Source organism: Homo sapiens, chromosome 2, assembly GCF_000001405.40.
Source record: "Homo sapiens chromosome 2, GRCh38.p14 Primary Assembly".
Classification (NCBI taxonomy): Eukaryota; Metazoa; Chordata; class Mammalia; order Primates; family Hominidae; genus Homo; species Homo sapiens.
In genome coordinates, this window is record NC_000002.12 from 179,703,859 (window position 1) to 179,728,114 (window position 24,256).

A 24,256-nucleotide genomic window follows, 5' to 3' on the forward strand; every position below is an offset into this window, starting at 1 on the left:
GGAGGTATTAATGGGCACTTAAGCAGGGCTCCTGACCACAGTAGCAGGTGTGGAGGTGTATTGAGAAATCAGGCTAGAAACAGACCAAGTCAGATGATAAATGACCTTTTCTGTCATGCTAAGTGATTGAATTTAATCCCAAAAGTCACAGGCTAGAGAGACACTGATGAATTTCGAGCAAGAAACTATGACATGATCAGATTTTTGTTTTATAAAAGTCATTAGTATAAGAATGTTCATTATATTGTTACATATAGTAGCAAATAAATATAAACCAAATCCAGTGATATGGAATTGGATAATAAATCATGATAAAGCCCTATACCAGAATACTGTTGGCTTTAAAAATGATATAAATATTTATTGAAAGAGTTTGATAATCCACTGTTAGAAAATAATAAATTTTAAGAAAGTGCTCATATAATACGGTTCCACTACATTTTTAAAAAATGTATCTGCATAGAGAAAGTCTGTAAAGACATATAGAAAAATGTTAATAGTAGTAACTCTAGGATGTAGGATTTGTGATAATTTTGCATTCTTTATTATACCTTCTGTGTTATCTGAGTTGATTTTACAGGAAGCATGTATGGCTTTGATAAGAAAAAAATAGACTTTTCATTTTGGAGAGTAACAAAAGGAAACACCTCTGGGAGATTAGGCTAAAGAAGAAAGGCCTACTAAGACACCATGACAGTGAATCCAGGGAGAATGTGAAGATGAAATATAAAGAAATGAAGAAGGTAGACTGGAGGTACAGGTGATTGTAAGATTTCCAGCTTGAGCAGCTATGTGTTTGGTAGAGTTATTGACCAATGAGCAGATGCCAGGGCCAAAGGTACTCTGAAGATGCCAAAGTTTCTTCTCCACCAGGATCTGTTGTCAATGTGTAACACCAACTTAGAATTGTAGGAATTAACTAATATCATGGCCTGCCTGCTCAGCTGGCTGGGATTACCATATGGTACAATCCCTCCAGGCATTTTTGAGTACAGTGTTTTTATAAAACCAGACTATTCCTCTGTGCCCACCAGACAATCCTTGGTGCCAATTCCTTAGAATACTTGCAGCTATCTAACACTTGGTCACCTCCATACAGAAGCACACCCTGCTATCTATTCTTTCCTGTATTCTCATACCTATACTGCTCTGCCCCCTTTTTTTCCCCTGGCCTAAACCCATGGAAGGTATCTCATTCATAAATCTATTTTTTTTTGTTTCAGAATTCTCATTCCATAGAAAATAAGACAAAAAAACTCCCTACTATCCTCCATCTCTGCCCTTAAGTCTTCCTTCACTTCCTGCCCCAAAGGAAGCCTAGATCTCTGAAGGCATTGCTCTCCTGGGCCCCTCTCAATGAGTACCACTCATCTCTGGGCTAGGAGTGGGTTCCTGTCCTCATTGCTCCTCAATTATACCTTAGGACTACTAGTTCTCACTCTGTCTGTAAACACAGTTTATGTTAACAGGCCATATCTTCTTCCATCCTTCCTTGTTTCTGGTTTCCAAAGACTTACCAAACATTTGTTTCCAAGACTTTGGTGTTGGGTTCACCATCTTTCTCACCACCCACAAAACCATCAGTATCCTACATGATTTCAACATCCACATGGGCAGCCCATTTCATACTCTCAGGTCCTTTATTGAAGAAAAATTTGAGGAATTTCAGAGACTCAACTTCACCTCACCTGTCTATTCTCTAGATCACCCTGGGCTGTGGTAACCCCTAGAAACTTTTGCTCTTTTCTATTTTACCTCATCTTCCTATTCTTTTCCCTTAGACATTATGTATGTTCTTTGACCTCAGTAAGAGAAATGAAGAAGATGAAACCGACCAAGGGTTAGCACACTTTGTCTATAACAGATCAGAGAGCAAATATCTTAGGCTTTGCCAACCTATTGTTGCAACTACTCAATTCTGCCATTCTAGTGCAAAAGCAGCCACAGAGGATGAATACTAAACCAATAGGCAAGTCTGTTCCAATAAACTTGATGTACATACATAAGCAGTGAGTTGAGTTTGGCACACAGGCTATAGTTTGGTGACCACTGAAACAGATCATGTTCTTCCCTCTCTCTGTCCCCTTTCTCCTTATCTATTGATTCCTAATCCTCCTTTTAGTCCCTACCTCCAGCATTCTTTCATTGTACAGCAGATGCTCCTGAAAGCAATAGGTTAACCCTAAGAATGGCCCTATGGTATAAAAAGAATGTGTGTTTGCAATTCCAAGCAGAGAAATCTGGAAGTGGCCAACCCAGAGACTCATTTCTTATTTACGGGGAATACCAGACCTCGGTTGATCCCATGGAATTCAGTCTGTACAAGGGATCAAGTCCCCTTTTTGGGTTAAATGAAGGTTGCCAGGTAGAGGTTTTTGTAGAGGTTTTGCTAGGGAGAGGATGCTAAGTGAAAATGCCATATAAACTTGCATGTTTTTTACAAGCGGTAGCAGTTCTCCTGTCCAGCTCACTGCCACTGGAGTCCCCTGTATGTAAGTCCCCTCAATAAACACTGGGTCCTCTTGACCATGGTGCCATCCCTATTTGAAGTCAATAGGGGTTTGGCATAACAATTGACATGACAACTAGGGCATCAAAGAAAATCCTATGAGCATCAAGATGATGGGATTGGGGAAGGGGAAATCCATGGGGCAAATCCTGGGCTGGCCATCCATGTCTATGTGGGTCTCTGTCTCTGCCTGCTTTCCATCCATCAAGGACAACAGCTGCTGTCCTTGATGGTTGGTTCCCACCGCATGAGTACAGGGATGCCCTGAAAACACTGAAGGTTCAGAAAGAGCTGTTACAGGGGTTGAAACTGACTGAGCAAGGGTCAGATGCCTGAGTAGTGGCAACTGTGGTTCACTGGCTGTTTCTGACTGCACTCTGAGCAGTCACTGAAGCTGAGCTTGCAGCATAGGTGGGGATTGGTCAGTTACAAGATGAGCTATGACTAGAAAGAGATGCCAGATTAGCTCAGGCTGAAACATCAGAGACCTTGCTGTCTCACCTATGGACACGGGATGACAAAATGGAGACCCTGGCTTGTTGGGTAGCCTGTTTGAAGGGTTGCTGACCCCCACAGCAATGAGTTAGGGCTATTATGACTAAATCATCCTGGGACCCCAAGATACCTGGGACCCCCATGATGTGCTATCAGTGGGGAGAAAAGAGAGGGGTGAGATGAGCCCATAAAGGTTCCTGTCCTAGCTGCACATCCAGTAGTCACCATCAAGATAAAAGCTGATCAGCTGCACTTACAGGGGGTAACCCCATAAGACTTGCCCGCATCTAAAAGACGGCAGCACACTACAATGCAGTACTGCACGCCCGTGGAATTAGTGGAGCTGCGAAATAGGTTCAGGAAGAAGGGAAGAGAGTCTATTGTGGTGGCTTCTCCATCTATGGGACATGGGGGCGGAGAGTATTATACTCTCCAGACTCAAGATGAGTTAAAATGGCATCCATCACAAACCACCTGGCCCTGAGGAAGCACCTCTATGATGCCAATAATGAGGACCAGCCATCCCCCTCTTAGCTGAGTGGCTGTGGGCTGCAAGGAAGCCTGGCTAAATGAGAGCAACATCCTCACATCTCCTTTGTAATTACAGACTATGGAGGAATTGCAGGACATCCCCCAAGAATTAGAGATGAAGCATGCTATCTATGCTGGGCATTACCAAGCTCCAATGAGCTTTTCACTGCCAGCATGAAAGACACTATCTTAGTTGGCACCCAACCAATAGTATAGTTCACCAGTGTCTATCCTAAGTGCCCTGGTAGGACAGCCAGTGTCTTGGGCAGCCCAAGCAGCCCCCAACTTAGGGGAAATGGAGAAACTGCATAGGCACAGGGTATGCGCTGCCAGCAAGAAAGACAAAGGAGCCAAAGGAAAGGAGACAGCTAAAGGATCCACCAGGGTGGTCTGGCAACAAATGTGTTATGACCTGGTAGTGGCAGGGACACCTGCTGAGAAAATAGATAAACAGCCTAATGCTTTTCTGGTCAGACTGGGGCAGAAGCTCAAGCCAGAACAGTGGATCGCTAAGGAGCCTCAAGTTCAGCCCACTACCCCTTCTGCAGAGGAATAGCAGGCACCAACCCGTTAGACTAGGATGAAGGCCAAGGCTCCAGAATCTCAATAAGAGCAGTGGTTGCCAGGGTGTCCAGGGGTCAGAGGCCACAGGTGGAACTAGCTACATATTGGTCACCTAAGAATAGGCAGATTGTGCATGCCCTTACTGGATACTGAAGCTGATATGGTTTGGCTCTGTGTCCCCACCCAAATCTCATCTCAAACTGTAACCCCTAGAATCCCCACATGTCGAGGGAGGGACCTGGTAGGAGGTGATTGGATCACAGGGGTGGTTTCCCCCACGCTGTTCTCTTGATAGTGAGTGTTTGACAATTCCTCCTTCACATGCTCTCCTCTCTCCTGCTGCCTTGTGAAGAAAGTACTTGCTTCTTCTTTGCCTTCCACCCTCCCCAGCCATGTGGAACTATGAGTCAATAAAACCTGTTTCCTTTATAAATTACCCAGTCTTAGGTAGTACCTTTATAGCAATGTGAAAACAGACTAATACAAGAGCCAAATGCACTCTCACACATGGTGACCTTCATCATCAGTTCCAAGGGCCTATAATAGCAATAGATGGTTAGGGAGGGTGGCTGTGATCAACAGGTTCAACTAGCATTGTAAGTGGGAAGACCGCTACCAAAACCATATTTAGTATACATGGCTCTCATCTTGGAATACCTCTTGGAAATTGATAACTTATCAAGTCTGACTCTCTAAACAATGGGCCTGGGAATTCAAGTGAGAGTTAGGATGGTGAAGCATGGGATTCAGGGAAATGTGAAATGGACACTGTAGTACAGCTGCCAGTCCCATGGTGAAGAGTGGCACTGAAACAATACCAATACTCACTGCCAGGCAGGTGAGGGGGCATGATGGAATCACAAGGATTGTTAAGAATTTAGGCATTATAGGGCCAGAACATACCCCAAACAAAACAGCCCTGTATGGCCCCTGTGGAAGCCTGATGGGACATGGAGAACAATAGTAGATTACTGGGAATTAAATAAGGTGGTCTCTGCAATGTATGCAGCTGTTTCCAATACTGCCTCCCATCTGATGATAAGAGAGGCGTTTGGCACATACCATTTTGTTGTAGATTTAGCCAATGCCTTCTTCAGCATCCCCCTTGCCCCAGAGAGTGAAGACCAATTTGCATTCACCTGGGAAGGAGAACAATGAACCTTTATCATCTTGCCCCAGGAATATTTACATAGTCCCTACTATCTGTCTTAGCCTAGTGGCCACAGATCTCAGCGGATGAACCACCCTGAGCGGGTATGTGTTTCTGTTACACTGATGACATCATGCTAACTTCTGAGTCTTTTTCCAGCTTACAAACTGCAGCCCCCACCTTGCTGTTTCACTTGGTCAGTAAGACTAATGTTGTTCTGTCTGCCATTATGGGTAAGGTATAGGCCTCCTTTAAGGGACTCACCAGGTGGCCACTGCAATAGGAAGCTCAGGATTGTAAAACTGAATGGTAGTAGGGCACCCCCTTTGGGGTGCTGACACATGGAAGGACATTCCCCATTATATCCAGGGCATGCATATAACAGTCTACCATGAGGATGCCCACACTGCATCTACACCACCTGGAAATCAACAGGCAGATGAGCTAGCCTGCATATGTCTTCTTGAGGAAGTTCCCACAGAAGACGTGGCCCATTGGCTACATAAGATGACACTGGGGACAATGTACCCTTTGAGCCACAGTGAAGAACTGGGGCCTGCTACTACTAAATAAAAACATAGTAGGTGTCTGACAGTAATGTTCTACTTGTGCACAGGGAGGCCTCCAGGCCCTTGCCACATGATAGGCACAGATCACTTGGGGCCAGAGCCCAGTGCAACAGTGGCAGGGAGACTACCTAGAACCTTTGCCTCTACCTGATTGCTATGCCTTGACTTGTGTGTACACCTGCACAGAGCTACTGCAGGCATATCCCAGCAAGCATGCCACACAGAAAAGTACCATAGTAGGACTAGTGCAGCTGTGTGTGACCTACGGCATCCCCACGGATTTCAACAGTAACCAGGGCTCACACTTTACCAGACACAAAGTGCAGGAATGGATGGAGGCCCTGGATATTCACTGACATTTCCACCTGCCACACAATCCTACAGCAGTGGGGCTGATTGAATGGATGAACGGACTGTTGATGCAACGACTCCGGAGAAGATGTGTTCTCTGGCTCTGTGGATGGACATGCCACTTACCAGCAGCTACTTGTACCCTGGATGAACATGCATGTCTCATCACCCCAGCGCTTACACTCTCCTGACACAAGGACTAGATGCCACCCTTGGGATCCAGGTAGACAGTTTGAGGGACAGTATACCTTTGCCCCAACCTGGGACTCAAGGAAACCTCTATTGCCCTTGCCACAGGACTACCTACCCAGGAGCACATCATTAAATGGCCCTGGAAATAGCAAACCATTCCCCAATCGTATGGTACTTCCACTCCATGGAGGAAGGGCCTAGAACAGAATATACAGATCACATCTATTTTACATCCTACTCCCCGTCGTACGATTAAAATAATGAATGTTAGTCCTCCCTTGTGCAAGAGGACTGTCATCCTCCCATTACGGAACATTTTAATACTTCCATTGTCTTATTCTGTCCTCCTACCATGTGCTGAAGAGCGGGGGCCAGTCCATTTGGTATTGTAATCCAGGCACCAGGCTGCTACCAGTGGTGTTGGTCTCAAAATGACAGAACTTCTTGTGTCTTGTTAAATGGCCATGACTTGCCCTTTCTTGTACCCACTAAACATCTCCCCGTCCACCCATAGACGGTGTGGTGTGCAGCAAACCTCTTCACCGACTGAGCACAGATGCTGGTCTCTCCCTATAACAAACAGACTGTTGTGACTGCAGAGAGCTGCCACTCTCTTCCATCACAGGCCTGCTCCAAGCACCTCACCTGAGTACCTGGAGCCACTTCTGTACTTAGTATAATGACCCTCATCTATTTCCCTTTAGTGACAATTGCACCTCGTGTAGTGAGTTTCCCACCATCAACAAGATGAGACAACATATTTTCCTCCTAGTATGGAAGCAAGTTAATGTTACCCCCACTGTGGGGTAGGCTGTACATGATGGGACAGGGTGGATAATGGCAGAGCAGATACAGGTAGTGGGATGTGCACCATTCTTAGCAAAATCACATGGCCCTGGACATCTTAACTGCCGCCCAGGTGGAACCTGAGCAATAATTAACACCAAATGTGATATATCTATCACTGATTTACTCTCGCAATGTAACCCAAGCCATGCAGGCCCTAGGTATACATATTCCTGCTATAGAATCTCTGTCTTGCAGCCCTATAACCATGTGGTTTAATCAATTCCCCAACACTTGACAAAACTTTCTAAGACTATTATTATATACGTTATTTTTTTCTGTTGTTGTAGTTTGTATTGCTGCTGCAATGTCTGACTGCAATGCTCCTCTTTATATACCTGGCCCCAGGGAAATAGTGGAAGAATGACATGAAAAGAATGTGAGGTCCATTCGAGGGTATGCTGGGGTGGAATGTACGGCAGATGTACCTGATAGCAAGAGTTTAACTTAAGCATATGCGGAGAATGACTCCATGGTATAAAAAGAATGTGTGTTCAGAATCCAAGCTAAAGAATCTGGGAGTGGCCAACCCAGAGATTCATTCCTTATTTATCAGGAACATCTAAATCCCGGCCCATCCCATGGAACACAGGCTATAGAGGGAATCAAGGCCCTTTGTTTTGGGTTAAATGAAGGTTGCCAGGTAGAGGTTGCTAGGGGGAGGATGCTAAGTGAAAATGGTATATAAACTGCATTTTTTTAAATAAGTGGTAGCAGTTCTGTTCCCTACTGCAAAAATGCTATATAAACTGCATTTTTTTTAACAAGCAGTAGCAGTTCTGTTCAGCCTACTGCAAAAATGCTATATAAACTGCATTTTTTTTTTTTTTTTTTTTTTTTTTACAAATGGTAGCAGTTCTGTTCGGCCTACTGCCACTGGACTGCCATGTATGTAAGTCCCCTCGATAAACTCTGTGTTTTGGTTGCCGGCTCTGGGTCCCTTCTTTGGCCTCTCAAACATGGTGCCATCCCTATTGAAGTCAATAGGTTCTGGCATGACACTCATTAACATGGATAACTCTAATGATACACTATCTTTGGTCAACATTCACAGAAAAATTTAAATCTTACACTAATTCAACTATTACATTCTCTACTTCTGGGTTGCTAAGTTTTGTTGGATAAAATTATGCTTTCTCCCACTGATAATACTATGATTTCTAGTCTCCAATCCCCAATCTTCAAAATTTCATAGTAAACTTTCTACATTTTCTTAATCCATGTTCTCTTCAATACTCCCTGGTAGCAACTTCAAACCATTTCCACTTTTCTCAAGAATTCTACCCTACTACTAGCCTCCTTGTTCATGCACGAAACAGAATATGTTAAACTCCCTAAGCATTCTGGAGTGAGTAGCACTATCCACAGCCAGTTGTATAAGCCCGAAATACAGACACCGTCCTTGATATCTCCTCTTTTCACCATGGCTCTCATCTTCTTCTTCAATAGGCTCTGTTGCTTTTGTTTCTCTAATCTGTCTTGAATCTGTCCCTTTCCATCTCCACCACCACTAGTGTAGTTTCATCCAGGTACTCATTGCTCAGAGTGAAATCTCAGGACAAGAATCGCCAGCATCACTGAGGGCTTGTTAGAAAGGCAGATTCTCAGGCTTCGTATCTGATGTACTAAATCAGAATTTGCACTTTAACAAGACCCCCAGATGCTTTATAGGAACATTAAAATTTGAGAAGCATCTCTCCTAATAGTCTCCTACTAACTTTTCTTGCCCTCCCTTCAATCCATTGTGTAGACAGTCCTCAACTTATAATGGTTTGGCTTATTAACACAATATTTAGACTTTGTTATGGTGTAAAAGTGAATCACGTTCAATAAAAGTCATACTTCAAATTTTGACTTCTGATCTTTTTCTGGGCTAGTAATATGCAGCACTATACCCTTTCGTGAGGCTGGGCAACAGCAGTGAGCCACAGCATCCAGTCAACCACGTGATCAGGAGGGTAAACAACCCACACTCCACAGTGGACTGTGTTGCCAGATGATTTTACCCAACTGTAGGCTAATAAAAGTGTTCTGCGCATATTTAAGGTAGTCTAGGCTAAGATATGATGTTCAGTAAGTTAGGTGTATTAAATGCATTTTCAACTTACAATATTTTCACCTAAGATGGGTTTTTGGGGATGCAACCTCATCCTAAATCAAGGAACATTTATATTTTCAAGAGTGGAAAATAGGATAAATGCATTGGATGAAATGGATTTAGTTCTTACCTATATTTACCTCTCCTACATCATTTCTGACTCCTGTTCCTCTCTCTCGGCTCCAGCCACGATGGTCTTCTTTAGTTCTTCAAATACATCATCACACTTTCTCCTTCTCCTTAGAATGCGTATTTCTTTTTTCAACTAGTTAGCTCCTATTTAATCTTCAATCTCAGCTAATTTCCTCTCTGACCACTATAACTATTCCCTCTCCCTGTAACCTAGACTCATTCTCCCTGCTATTTATTCTAATTTTTCCCTAGGTGCTTTCTTCACAGTACCTATCACATAATTGCATGATTATTTGATTAATATTGGCTGCACCCATTTCACTGTAAGCTCCATCAGGGCAAGGTCCAAATCTGCTTTACTTACCATGTATCTTCACCGCCTAACATAAGGCTTGGCACAAAATAGGTTCTTAATAAGTATTAATGATTGACTGAATAAATGCATGTTATAAAAGCCTCTAGTTGGGTAAGGAATGGGATTAGATGAATCCTAAGTGTTATCTAAAACACTGAGCTGTGTGTTTCCTGCTTAACTCATAAATCTTTATATTGGTCCACTCACAGTGTAAGAATTTTCTTGTAATTCCAGTCCCCTATTTTTGCCCTATATAAGGTTAGGACATACTAATTTTCTTAATAATCTAGCCTCCAGAATAGATATCATAAAATAATATTCCTTGATAAATACTTATCATGTCAGGAAAGGTTCTAAGCAAAATGGGTACAGTGGTAAACATTTGAATGTTGGAAAGTCAAGCAAAATGCCAAGTCAGTTTACTCTGCCCTGCAGAGAGCCATGCCCAGTCAGACAAACCTATGAAGAACTGAGCTACTTAGAAAGTCTAAGGCATAGGAGGAGGAATAGGAAGGACCATGGAAAAAGTAAGGGGCTGGAATAATACCACTACAAATAATAACAATAACAATGACCAGAGTTAATATTTATTGAGTACATGTGCCAACGTCTGTTATTCCAGCAACATTATCTCAGTTAATTCCATGATACCTTCATAAGCAAGGACTATTGTTATTCCCATTTTATGTACATGGCAACTGAGGCAAAGAGCTCTTAAGTTACTTATCGAAGAATATCCAATAAGTAGGTGGTAGAGCTAGGATTTACACCCAGCAGTCAGCTTTATTTTCAACCATGCAATGCCTCCTTAACAAAGGAGATAGGTTAGGAAAGGCAGATCTGGGCAAGTGTTGTATTATACAACAATAAAAAGGCTGTGGGGTCAAAAGCTATGGCTGTTAAAAGGTTAGGGTAACAGCCAGAAGAATCACCCTTAGGAAGGTTAAAATTTAGGACAACATCTATGATCCTTCCCAAACCTTAAATCTTCATGCTTTTAAAAAGAATTTCCTGCCCAGGCGTGGTGGCTCACGCCTGTAATCCCAGCACTTTGGGAGGGGGAGGCGGGCGGATCACCTGAGGTCAGGAATTCCAGACCAACCTGGCCAACATGGTGAAAACCTATCTCTACTAAAACTACAAAAAAAAAATTAGCCAGATGTGGTGGCACTTGCCTGTAATCCCAGCTACTCAGCAGGCTGAGGCACATTTGAGCCCGGGAGGTAGAGGTTGCTGTGGGCTGAACAGCACCACTGCACTCCAGCCTGGGTAACAAAGCGAGATTCTATCTCAAAAAAAAAAAAAAAAAAACAGTTTCCTGAATGTAGAACTGTTCTAATGCTGGCAGTTTTGTCTCCCATATCTGTCAAAAATTTTCCTGTTTATACCTACCCCCAAACCATGCACATCCAAGTCATCTGTTATTGCTGACAAAATTAAACACATCTATACACATGCAAGCCATTAAGACAAATAACCTCACTCACTCACAAATAACCTAATTCTAACTCTCAGGAGAATAAGGATAACTTTTATGTGATAACAGCTCATGCCAAATCCTATACTCTTAGTACTACTTGAACCCTCCCCCAAACTGCCCATGTCCCACCACCATAGGTGATGACTTCCAAATTCACATCTCACTTGGAACCACTGATAATCCCAGAGTCCATACCCCACCTCTGATTTCTTAACTTCCAGATATTTGCTCTTTAGTCTAAATGTCTAAGATGTCATATACAGAGTAAACAACCACAAACCACAATCATAATATTAGAAGTGTGTTTGCATGAGGATTGTAGGTAACTCCAGAAAAAGGGATTTACTGAGAAAGCACTGGGACCAAAAATAACATTTACAGCTGGTTCCATGAGTTAAGAATGTATGCTAATGAATATCCCATACCTCGATATTTATAATAAGTTCAGAGTCTACTGCAGTGAACATGTAATAAAATCTAGGACATATGAACACAATTTCTTTGCCCTGTGTGATAAAATACTAAATTAAGGTTGATATATGCAAAATACCCTTTTACTTTATAAGGGTAAATTAATATTTACCCATTATAAAATAATGATAAATGCCCATCATAAATAAATATTAAACTATTAAATAATGTTAAATAAATATTAAGTTTTACTTTATGATGGGTAAATGACTATTCATTATTTACCCATCATAAAGTAATGATAAATACCCATCATGAATAAATATATATTGTTAAATTTTGCTTTTATTCTTCCTTTCATTAAAAATGTGGGAGTGGTATGCCCATTTAAATAATTTATGCCTGTATTTTGTCTGCTTTTCAATATCGTTGAATTCCATGGCCCATAATAGCTACATAATGCAATGCAAGGCATAATAAGGACCACCTCAAACATTTTGTCTAACACTCCATCAATCCTAGCAAACACATGATTTTGTTAAGTTCAATGGGTTGTGTTTATCTTCTTGCTTTTGAGGAGTTGCATTTGGAGACATCAGTCACTATTTTTTTTATCCTTACCAAATTCATCTAAAGAACTGAGCCAGTCAATGCTCTAGTGACAAATAGGCCCAGAGAAAAGGTTTAAGTAAGAGGAGAGGCATCATGAAATTCTCATTTTGGCTTAAATAATGGTTTTCATAATAGAGTAGGTCATATTTTTTCATTCTTAAAATCTCAGTTGTGAAGAAATATGTCTTCAATAAATCTTACATGCTTATAAATCTATGTGTAATCCCTGACCTATTTTCCATTTTCTGTTGTAGTTCTATTACAGGGTAATCTAGACAGTTTCCATATTTTCTTGGGAAAATGCTTTAGAGGCACTAAAAAAACTTGAGTTAGATTATGTTCATAAAAATGTTGCATATAAATTATGTATCTGATTTACTTAAAAATTGTGTAGCAAACAGTATATTCCAAAGATATCTTGTCCCTTTTATTCCACAGTCTCTTCTAGAACCTTCAATTCTAAAAGGTAGTCTAATTCCTCTCTTTTTTATTCTGGGTGAATTGGCAAGTTGCTTTTAACCAACAGAATGTGGTAAAAGTGGCAGTGAATGTCTTTCTGAGGCTAGGTCATTAAAGGTGATGAAGCTGAGATATAAGCTGAAACACTTTGGCTTGGACCCCTGAGCCACCGTATCAACAATCAGATTCTCCTAAGGCCACCATGCAGTAAGGAAACCCACACTAGCCTGTATGAAGAGACCACATAGCTGAGACAACCTGAGCAAAACAGAGAGACATCCAGCTTGTTTCCAGCTGTTCTAGCACCAGCTACTGCCTACCTATAACCATATGTCAGCCTCTGAGTCTGAACTGCCCAGCTGAATTTTTGTTGAATTTTTCTTGAATTACCAACCCACAGATACTCTGAGATATAATTAAATGACTGCTGCACATTAAGCTACCAAGTTTTGCGGTACTCTGTTATGCAGCAATGGTAACTGGGAAAAAACTGTTTAAATGTTTAGGCCCTCAAAATGAATATTCAAAAAAAAATTAGAACAAAAGTAGAAATGTTTATATAAAATGAGAAATCAAAAATTATTTCCAAGTGACTGCTTATTTTCTCATAGCAAGAAAGTTTCCATTTTTGGCTTCCATGAAGGTAACAAAGTCAAACAAATATACACATTCTAAAGCTTAATCTTTTGAGGAGATAGACACCAATTTTCTTTAGATTTTATGTAAATATTTTCCCCTGCTTAATGGCAGCACTTCTACCTTGTTCTGCCAAGATAGATGGATAGGTGGAGAGAGGGAGGGAGAGAGGGAGAGACAGAAAGAGAGAATAAGAAAGTATGGCTGGGCACAGTGGCTCATGCCTGTAATCCTAACATTTTGGGATGCCAAGGTGGGAGGATTACTTGAGCCCCGGAGTTTGAGACCAGTCTGGGCAACATAGTGAGACCCTGTTTCTATAAATTATTTTTTAGAAGCTAGCCAGGCTAGGTGGTACACGCCTGTAGTCCCAGCTATTAAGAGGTGGAGGATCAACTGAGCCCAGGAGCTTGACGCTGCAGTGAGCTGTGGTCATGCCATGGCCCTCCTGCCTGGGTGACAGAGTGAGACCCTGTCTCAAACAAATAAACAAACAAAAACCTTCTCATGATAGTTTCAACTGTTTCTGAGTTGTTTCCTACCTCTCATTATACCTACAAAAACAATTATGAGGATGAGGAAAGCGAAAAGCATAGGACATCATATATAATTTGTTATTACGTTGTATGTAATTATTTGTTATTACATCATATGTTGTTTATTAGCTGTTATTACTTGCATAAATGTATCAGAATCCTTGAAAGTGACTTTTCCTTACATAAATTAATATTGTCATCCGAAGACATTTTTGCTACTAAATTTCTTGGCAAACAGGTTTCTCATTAGGTAGCCTAATGTTTATGCTATGCTGAGCCAATGACATTCATAATATCTCATTTAGTAAATCCTGAATTAATGAGACTTCATTATTCTACCAATATTTTAAATAGAATATGATATGAAGCATCAGTATTTCTTAAGAATAATCTTTACTACTATTGCAAAGGATATTGTTCTTTAATGTAGAAAGCATTTATCTAAGATTTTATTTATCCACACGCATGTTGACACATCAATAGTGAGAATTTTAAATACTGGGTCTTAAAAGTGTTTTGCTTACTTTATAATCAATGATATATATTATCATAAAGATATATATATAATCATTTATATCTTTTTATCTTATATATTATATATTATAATCCTACATATAATCATTTATTATCATAAAGATATATATATTTCTTCCAGCATATTCCTTACTTTATGATCAAAGACATATAATCATATATATCTTTATATATTATATATAATCATTATATATTATATATATTATCATAAAGAGAGAGAGATATATATATTTCTTCCAGTATAGGACGATTCTAACATCTGTACTTTGAGCTATACTTAAATGTACTACTTTTACAGTTCAGTACACACTAAATTATCAAATTAAACATTGAGAATTATGAATGCCTGGCTTTTAAATGACTCCTTCTACATATATCATTTCTTTACAAATTTCTATTTTCAGCCAAATGTGGTGCCTCATGCCTGTAATCACAGCACTTTGGTAGACCTAGAGAAGAGGCTAGGAGTTCGAGAACAGCCTGGTCAACATAGTGAGACCCTGTATCTATTAAAAAAAAAAAACCCAAAAGCCAAATTTCTATTTTCATTTTAAAGGTAATCACTCATAGAAGCAGACAGCAGAAGGAGAAGATAATGTGAAGATTACAAATCTACTCACACTTTAAAACTCTGTGTGTGTGTGTGTGTGTGTATATATATTTTTTTTTTCTATAATCTACCTGATCTTCCTCAGAAATCCTCCTCACAAGCCAGCTTATCATGAACTGCCAGGAACTTCTGCATGTCTCGCCCTCCTAACCATACCATGCCACCATTTTCAGTCTCCTAAGTTTCTATATGTTGCCCATGGACAACCTAGTCTAGTAAGTCTCCCCTTCCTGCCTCCACCCATGAGCCCACCCCAGGTTTCAAAGGACATCCAGGGTAAACATCCATTGTTTTCTGGCTTTCCTACTAACCTATTTAAGATGACCATTCCTATTGCATGAGCCGACCAAGCTGGAGAGGAGGCAATCACAATACCTATGAACCCCTTGCCACCTTTAACTTTACCTGTCACTTTCAGTGCTCCCTGCACCCAGGTGAAAGGTGTAGTTTCTCCACCTCCTCTTTCATTATATATCCATTACAAATACATCATGCTCCCTCTTTGTAAGCTGACATTTTACACTATGTTTTCCCCAGAGGCTATAACGGCAGACGAAGGACAAGGAAATACTAGCTTACTAACATCTGAGCTTCAAGAAGGGAAAACCAAAGCTATTGGCAAATATACGGGCTGCATTGCCCACTTGGTATGACCAGCAGTGGTTTGGATTCAGACTAACTTTCATACAGGAAATAATAGATTTTAACTGCCACCAGGTTTACTAAGAAAGATAACAGCAGTGGGAACAGCATGTTAACATGATTGCATCAAATACATCTTCAATAGATGTTCTTGCAGCAGCCTAGCTATTGCTTTCCTGATCCTATAAAAATATGCTCAAGTGAATTTTAAGAAATGAGATCTCACAAATATATGCAGGCTACTCTACATAAGGAAGTTTCATACATGAAGGGGACCATATCTTCTAATTACCTGTGAATGTATTTTCCAAGTCCCCGCAAGGTATACACTCAGTTAAGAGGGAACCATCCAAGGAAGCTGAGGTTATGTTTTCTTCAACAGATTTTCATATATTCGTAATCAGATGAGCTCCCAGGTCTGTATGTTAATTAACAGTTCTTTCAGTCCAAATCAGGAGTTGTTTTCACAGTAAACAGTATTGAACAGAGCTAATGTTCCAAACTTATCTTAAATAAGTATGTTCCTAAGGAAACAACATTGGGAGAGGGTAAAGCGACGGTCATCTCATGCAAAACAGATTTAGGCTCAATAATGCCTTCTCTCAAAGGGTAAATCCAAAAACATATCAACAATTTAAAATAGTGATAATAATGCCTAATTTTTGGGAGAAATAGCCTGAAATTAAAATATCTGGAGTAACCACCAAAAGAATACATTTAGAATAAAAATTTCCAAACATGTAGAAAGCTGAAATGAAATTTTAAGAACAGACACAGGGTATTCCATCCAAAAGCATGAAAAAGGAGTAGAGGAAAAGAGAGCAGGGGAGAGGGGAGGGGAGGAGGGGAGGGGAAAGGAAAGGAGAGCAGGGGAGAGGGGAGGGGAGGGGAGAGGAAAGGAGAGCAGGGATGAGGGGAGAGAAGGAGGGGAGGGGAAGAAAGGGAGGAGGAGAGGAGGGAATGGGAGGGGAGGCAAGGGGAGGAGAGGGAGGGAGGAAAGAAGGGAAAGAGAAAACACATAAGATGGTAGAAGAGAAATCCAAGCATATCAATTATCTCTATCAGCATAAATGGACTCAACTATTTGGATTCAATTCAAAATAAATATTAGGTTAAATATAAAACATAAAAGCATAACAAAGTTATATGCTCTTTATAAGAAATATAAAAGAAAATACCAAAGAACCTTTAAGTAGTTTTATTATTATTATTACAGAGTTTGCTCTGACACCCAGGCTGGAATGCAGTGATGTAATCACACTTACTATAACCTTGAATTCCTGGGCTCAAGTGATACTCCTGCCTCAGCCTCCCAAGTAGCTGTGACTACAGTTGTGTGCCACCATGCCTGGCTGTTTTTTTTTTTTTTTTTTTTTTTTGGAGAGACAAGGTCCTGGTATGTTGCCCAAGCTTATCTCAAACACCTAGCCTTAAGTGATCCCCCCACTTCAGCCTCCCAAAGCACTGGGACTACAGAAATGAGCCACTATGCCCAGCCCCTTGAAGTAACTATATTAATGTCCCAAATAGACTTTAAGGCCAAGGAATTACTACAGATGAAAAGGTAAGTAATGATAAAATTTCAATACATTACAAAGGAATACACAAATCAACAATGTTAGCAATGAAAAGAAAAACATAGAGATGTTTCAAAATTTTAAGTTGGCTATTAAGGGCTATAATTAATAAATTTATAATACAATGTGGAAAACATAAACGCAATGAAAACATTCTGAGGAAAATACAACTTAACCAAAATTGACTCAAGTAGAACTAGAAAACCCAAATCATTTATGTAAGATTGGTTATAAAGGTGAGTTTTTCTAATCTTTTAAGGAATAAATTCAATCTCACAAATTTTCATCCAAAGAATGAAAAAGGAAGACATATTTCTTAACTTACTTATCAGGCTATTACATACTATAACAAAACCATATCAGCAAAATACAAGAAATTATTTCATTCTTCCTCATAACAGGTTGAACAAAATCATCAGCACACTGAATTCAGCAATGGATTAAAAATTAAATATTGTGAACTAAATATATGTAAAACCATACAATTATTTCAATAAAGAGAGAAAAAGTATTTAATAAAATGCAATATTTTTTATAACAAAAATTGTTAGTATACTAGTAAGAAAATTTCATAATATTTATAGGATAGCTATTAAAAAAACTCATACCTATTGATGAAACTTGAAAGTATTCCCTATAAAGTAAAGAATAAAGGCAATAATGCATACTTTGACCATTTCCATTTAAGTTGCTAAAGGTTGTGGCCAGTGGAATAAGACAAAAACAAACAAACAAAAAACAATACAAGGTCTAAGAAATAGAGAAGATGAAACAAAGACACTTAACATTTGTAGATTACATGATTTATATTTATATACAATATAAAATAGTCTAAAGATAAATATTAGAATTATTGGACAATTTAACAAGATGAATACAAATAAACAAAGTCAATTGCCTCTCTATGTATTAACAATGATCAATTAGTAAACAGATGTTATAAAAAGATATCACTTAAAATAGCAGCAGAGCATGTAAAATACCTAGAAGTATATATAACGAGATGTGTGAGCCATTTTTGAAGAAAGTTATAAAACACATATGAAGATTTTAAGGAAGATATAAATTTATGGAGAAGTAAACCATGCACTTAGATAAAAAGACTCAACATTTGCATGGAAAAGCAAATGGCCAAGATAGATATCATTCCTAAAGAAGAAAAACAATGTGTAGTGCTTTGCTCAGTCAGCTGTGAAGAATTTTTATACATTCACAGATATTAACATATTATGACATTGGTGTAGAGACAAACAATTCAATGGAATGGAATAGAGTATAAAAAGAAACTTGCACATACACAGAAACTTGGTTTTTGGTACAGTGAATACTGAAAGCCAGAGGGGAAGAAGAAACTATTCACTAAATGACTCTGGAACAACTGGTTATCTATACAGAAGAAAGAAAAATGCATAAAATTGACTGCACAAAAACAGTTACTGGTAAATTCAAGATTTAAAGCCAAATTATAGCAATTGTAGATTAATATATTTGGGATCCATATAATCTCAAGGTAGAGAAACACTTCTTAAATGGAGTATTAAAAAGCACAATTCATAAAAGCAATAAAAATACTTGATTATATTAAAATTAAAGATTAATTTTACTAAGAGTCACCAAAAATAATAAAAACCCAAGCCATTCCACGTGAGAATTTATCTGCAACATAGAAAACTGAAAAAGAATTAGCTCTACTATATGACTACTACAAATAATTTTTTTAAATTAGTGATTCTATTAAAATGGTCACATGATATGAATAGGAATTTCACCAAAGAGGAAACACAAATGGCCAAAAAACATGAAAAGATGCTCAGCCTCATTAGTTACCAGGGATATGCAAATTAAATCCCCAATGAGATAGCATTTCACAACCACCAGATTGTCAACAATTTTAAAAAGTCAGACAGTCTCAAGTGTTGCAGAGGATGTGACACAATAGACTGATCATCTGCTGCTGGTCAGAGTGTAAACTGATACTATAACTTAGGGAAATACTTTGGCATTCATTCATTCACTTAATATATAATAATTGACTATTTACAATGCATCTGGCAGTATTCTGGGGCTATAGCATAAAACAGAAAAAAAAATTTCAAGTTGAACATGCACATCTCTTAAACCTGAAACTCACTTCCTGGAGATTATATGCCCTCAGAGTATAATTATATAACTCAGAGAAAGCTGTACATATGTATATACGTGAATGTTCAAACCAGTATTGCTTCTAATTAAATTAAGAAAGGTAATAACCAAAATGTGGATTATCAGTAGAATATATAAATAAATTGAAATGTAGGATATACAAAATATATTAGGTTGATGCAAAAGTAATTGCGGTTTTTGCCGTACTAAATAAGCATTCAAAATGAATGAAATACAGCTACACATCAAAAAGTATGAATCTTAAAAATTATATTATGGATGAGTATGTGACAGTAGGCAAAAACTAAATATATTTTAAAACACGCATATTTAGTGGTAAACTAAAGAAAAGCAAGAGAATAATTAACACACAATTCCAGACAGGAATTACTTCTGGGAACTAAGGAAGAAGCAAGGGTTATCTGAGGTTAAGGTTTTATTTTTGAATAAGGGGCTAGATACATTGATGCCTAATTTTTCAAAGCTACGTAAGTTTTTATATACTTTCTGAAAATATTATATATTTTTCATTTAAAAATACTCTACATTCTTAACATACTAATTAGGCTAAGTTTCTTTGCTTGGTTATCAATTGGGACCAAAACAATAAAGTAGTAAAATCAAGGACTCACAAATGTCACTGCTCATACATCATATAAAAACTAGTATATTCTAGTATTACCAATTAGTACAATCTTATGTTAGTGAAAATTAAAAGAAGCAATTTAAAGGCATTGGGTGGGGCACAGTGGCTCACGCCTGTAATCACAGCACTTTGGGAGGCCAACGCAGGCAGATCACTTGAGGTCAGGAGTTCAAGACCAGCCTGATCAATATGGTGAAACCCCATCTCTACGAAAAATACAAAAATTCACCGGGCATGGTGGCGGGCGCCTGCAATCCCAGCTACTTAGGAGGCCAAGGCAGGAGAATCTCTTGAACCTGGGAGGTGAAGTTTGCAGTGAGCCAAGATTGCGCCACTGCACTCCAGCCTGGGTGACAGAGCAAGACTCCATCTCAGTAAAATAATAATAATAAATTAATTAACAAAGGCATCAGAAAACTAAATGAAGGCTTTGTGATAATATGTGGTTATCAAGAACGAAATCTACAGTATTGAAAGAAACTGTCTAAATCTTCAATTAAATTGGTTCTCAAAAATATTTTAGTTATGTAAATTCTTCCAAAGACATGCCAATCAAGGTAGAATCACTCTATAATTTACCCTATTAAGAATTAAGCCTCAAAATTCACTAAAATGTTAGAAAATACTTTGTAAGAGTTTATCTAATGGAAAGCCATTCATATAGGCTGACTCAGCACAGCAGTTACAATGTTACAAATCATATTTAGTGAACATTATTCTAACATAATTTTAGTTTAAGACTAGCACAAGAAGCTAAGGTGATACTTTGCAGGATAAAAATATTGAAATAGAAGCTCCTTTTTAGAGGTTGATAATTATTTTGACTCTTTAAGACAAATTCTAATAAATAACTGTTCTCTAGACAGTAAGCTGGGAAGCTAGGGAGGATGGGAATGTGTCTGTCATCCTTGATGCATACAATAGTGTCTGCACAAATAAATGAATGATTTTTATAGAAATTAATGTAAGATTTTTATAATTTAAACCATTTTGCTATGAATTTAGCTTATTTTGAAAGTAAATTCTAAATCTATGTTGCTGTTGGTAGGCATCCATAAATATTAGTATTTAACTTGAGAAAAATTACATAATTCACATAAAAAATAAGCATTGTAATAAATACTATCACTACTGTACATTTATGGGAAACTACACAACAGTAATTAAACTTATATAATGTATATTTAATTTCACCTATCAGATCAGGAGCCACAGCTATTTTTCAAAACATAGTAAGAAAAGAGGCTTGTGTGATCAAAGGTTCAGTGTATACTGTTCAATCAAGTAATCTAATTTCTAAACACCTACGTATTCAGAAATGTCAAGTGAAATTACTCCAGCCTAGGAAAGTTGTAGATTTTCAATTAATAGGTTAGTTATAAATGAAAAACTGCTTTAACTATACTTCTCTATGACATACTTTGTATAGTCAACAAAAACAAGGTTCAGTTACCTTAAAATTACTCATCACATATATATAAAAACACATACGTGCATGTATATATATTTATGAATATATATATACACACATTTTCTTCCAAGATATATAAATGTCATATATATTATATATACATGAAGGTAATTTTTAGACATTTTCTTTGGATTCTATAAATTAAGTGTTGTCTTTTTCACAGTATAGTTTTGATATGTATTCATAATGTTCTGTATTTCTCTAGCTTTGTCAGTTTCACACTGCTCTACAGTGTGAAATTGACAAGAAATGGTGCAAAACTGACAACTGAAAGCACAGAAATTTAACAAAAAATTACTATGCAAATTGTTTGAGAAAGGCTAAAAGGTAGATATTTGATAGCAATGACTATGTTCCAACTGATAAGATGTTTCAAAGAAACCCAGATTCTTTTAAATATATGAACCTATATAGATATACATCTCAGATATATCATATATACATATATCATATATCTCATATATACATACATGATATATATATGAATATATGTGTTTGTGTGTGTATATATATATATATATATATATGTGTATATACAGAGAGAGAGATAAATCTAGACAATAGCACACTACCTTCCCACCTTATAGGAAAAGATCTACAGTGTTCTTAAAATGAAATCTTAGAGTCATAGCTTCTGCATATCTCCCTAAAGTGGTAGCTCCTACTTTTGCATTCTTGTGGACAACTGTCATTTCAAACTTTCTCTCCACAACAACCTTCTCAACTTCCTTTACAACAAGTATGAAATACCAGTTTAAAAAAAGGAGTAGTGTGGTAGGTTCACCTTTGGTGTCCTGTATCTTTCCCTTCATTAAAATCTCATTGATTTATTGCCCTAACAAACCAGTTACCATTATTTGAGGGCTTCATGCCTCTTTTTATCTTCTTAATGCATGTCTTGCACCTCTCCATATCCTTTGTGTGTTTCCTTCTATCATCGGCCCATTCCAATTCTGGATATTGTTTTAAAAATATAATTATATAAGTTTGGAATCACATGTCCTCACTCTTTCACTTACTAGCTGTAAGACCTAGAGGCAGTTATTTTCTGGGCCTCTGTTGCTCATTAGGATATGGGAGTATTAGTACTATACTGAAGCAATTTTTCATACGGTAAATGTGATTATACATAAAGCACTTAACATAGTAGTTGGCACAGGGTAAGACTTCAATACACTGTAGTGGTGGCGGCCTAGTGTTTTTATTACAAGTCACCCTTGAGTGCTCCTGTTCTAGGCTTTCTACATCATTTCACATTGACAAAGTCCAATATCAACACACAAGTAGTCAAAAAATTGTGGGCTACTTCTGTTTAATAAATAACTTGTGACAATGATGAGGAGGAGATAATATAGTACTATTACTGCATTTGTGCTTTACACATCTATAGACATCATCTTATGTAATGCACATAGGATATCTGTCAGTTTTGTAGATGTATAGCATTTTTCTTATTTGAAGCATGAGATAAAACACAGAGATGTTAAGTAGTGCAACTGGATGTTGACTGGACATTGAGCTAGTTAATGAAGAATGGAGATTAGAATCCACATTACTTTAACCCGAGTACTTTAACCACAATGTGTGACTTAAATGAGTATATCACATTGTCTTGAAATAGTCATCTTGTGGTGCAAGTAGAGTTCCGTGTGTGTGTTTCAGGGAGCACTCAGACTATAGCGATGAGTTCAGATGAGATGAACAGATACTCAACATTAAAAAGAGATCTCAGCTGCCTTTAAAGATGAGTTGAATGAATCAGAAGCAAGGTATTTTATCTGATAACCACTCAATTTTATGACTTTATTATTTTTATAAACTTAAAATATTTTAAAATAAATCCTCATTTCAATTATCCCACTTTTGGAAATCCATCAGTTTCAGCTTTCCAAAAATTAATCTCCAAACAATATAAAATACCACCGATTTAATTTCTTGTCCACAGAATTTTCAAAGGAGTTGTGCTATCTAAGCAATCTTAGGATCTTGCAGCATGAGCTATCTTATAATGACACACTTGGGAAGTCCTATATAATAAGGAAAATAATATCTGAAAAATGTGTGATTGCTACAGCTATAAATGGCTACATCTGCCCTTTTAAGGAGTAATCATGGGAAACAGCAACAACGTTTGCCACCTCAAAACATTTATAATCTACTTAAGTAGACCATAGCAGTGTAGCCATTCTGCTTAGATATATTTTTCTTGCTACAAACTTAGAATTATATACAACATAAGAATAAACTGGGAATTACATGATTAAAAATGTAACCAATGAATATGACCAAATAAAAACTGATTTGAATAACCACTATGGAAAAACAACATGTCACACCTAAATCCTATGTATTTAAGACATATGGAGTGCATCAAAAGATACCATAAAGTGACAGAAAAGATTTATTTTGAACATTGAGGAAATCTTATTTGTGAGCAGATGCCCAGACTAGCTTGGAGGCAGCAGGTTTTCACTGGGTGACAAATCATATCACTGGGGCATTTTTGTGAAGTCTATAAAAAGAATGTTTAATAGTAAAATGCATGAATATTGATAATAACAAACAATATGGGCACTTCAAGATGTTTCTGTAGAACATCATAATCACAAAAAATGCCCCGACTCTTGAAACAAATGTAGCTCATTCCCATTCCCAGAGAGCAACTGCCTTTTTGTCAGATTTGACTCTTTCAGACAAAAATCAATGAG

At 38.0% G+C, this 24,256-nt stretch overlaps 1 protein-coding gene across 15 annotated transcripts in view; it reads right to left on the reverse strand.

Annotated features, from left to right (window-relative positions):
• ZNF385B (zinc finger protein 385B) overlaps window positions 1-24,256 on the reverse strand; it is a 419,631-nt gene that overhangs the window by 261,877 nt on the left and 133,498 nt on the right. The window contains exon 2 of one of the 15 annotated variants that reach the window (NM_001352815.1): window positions 16,005-16,236. The exons of the other annotated variants lie outside the window; for them this stretch is intronic. The gene's annotated coding sequence lies outside the window, so the exon portion shown is untranslated. The remainder of the gene's footprint in view (window positions 1-16,004; window positions 16,237-24,256) is intronic. 15 annotated transcript variants of the gene reach the window in all.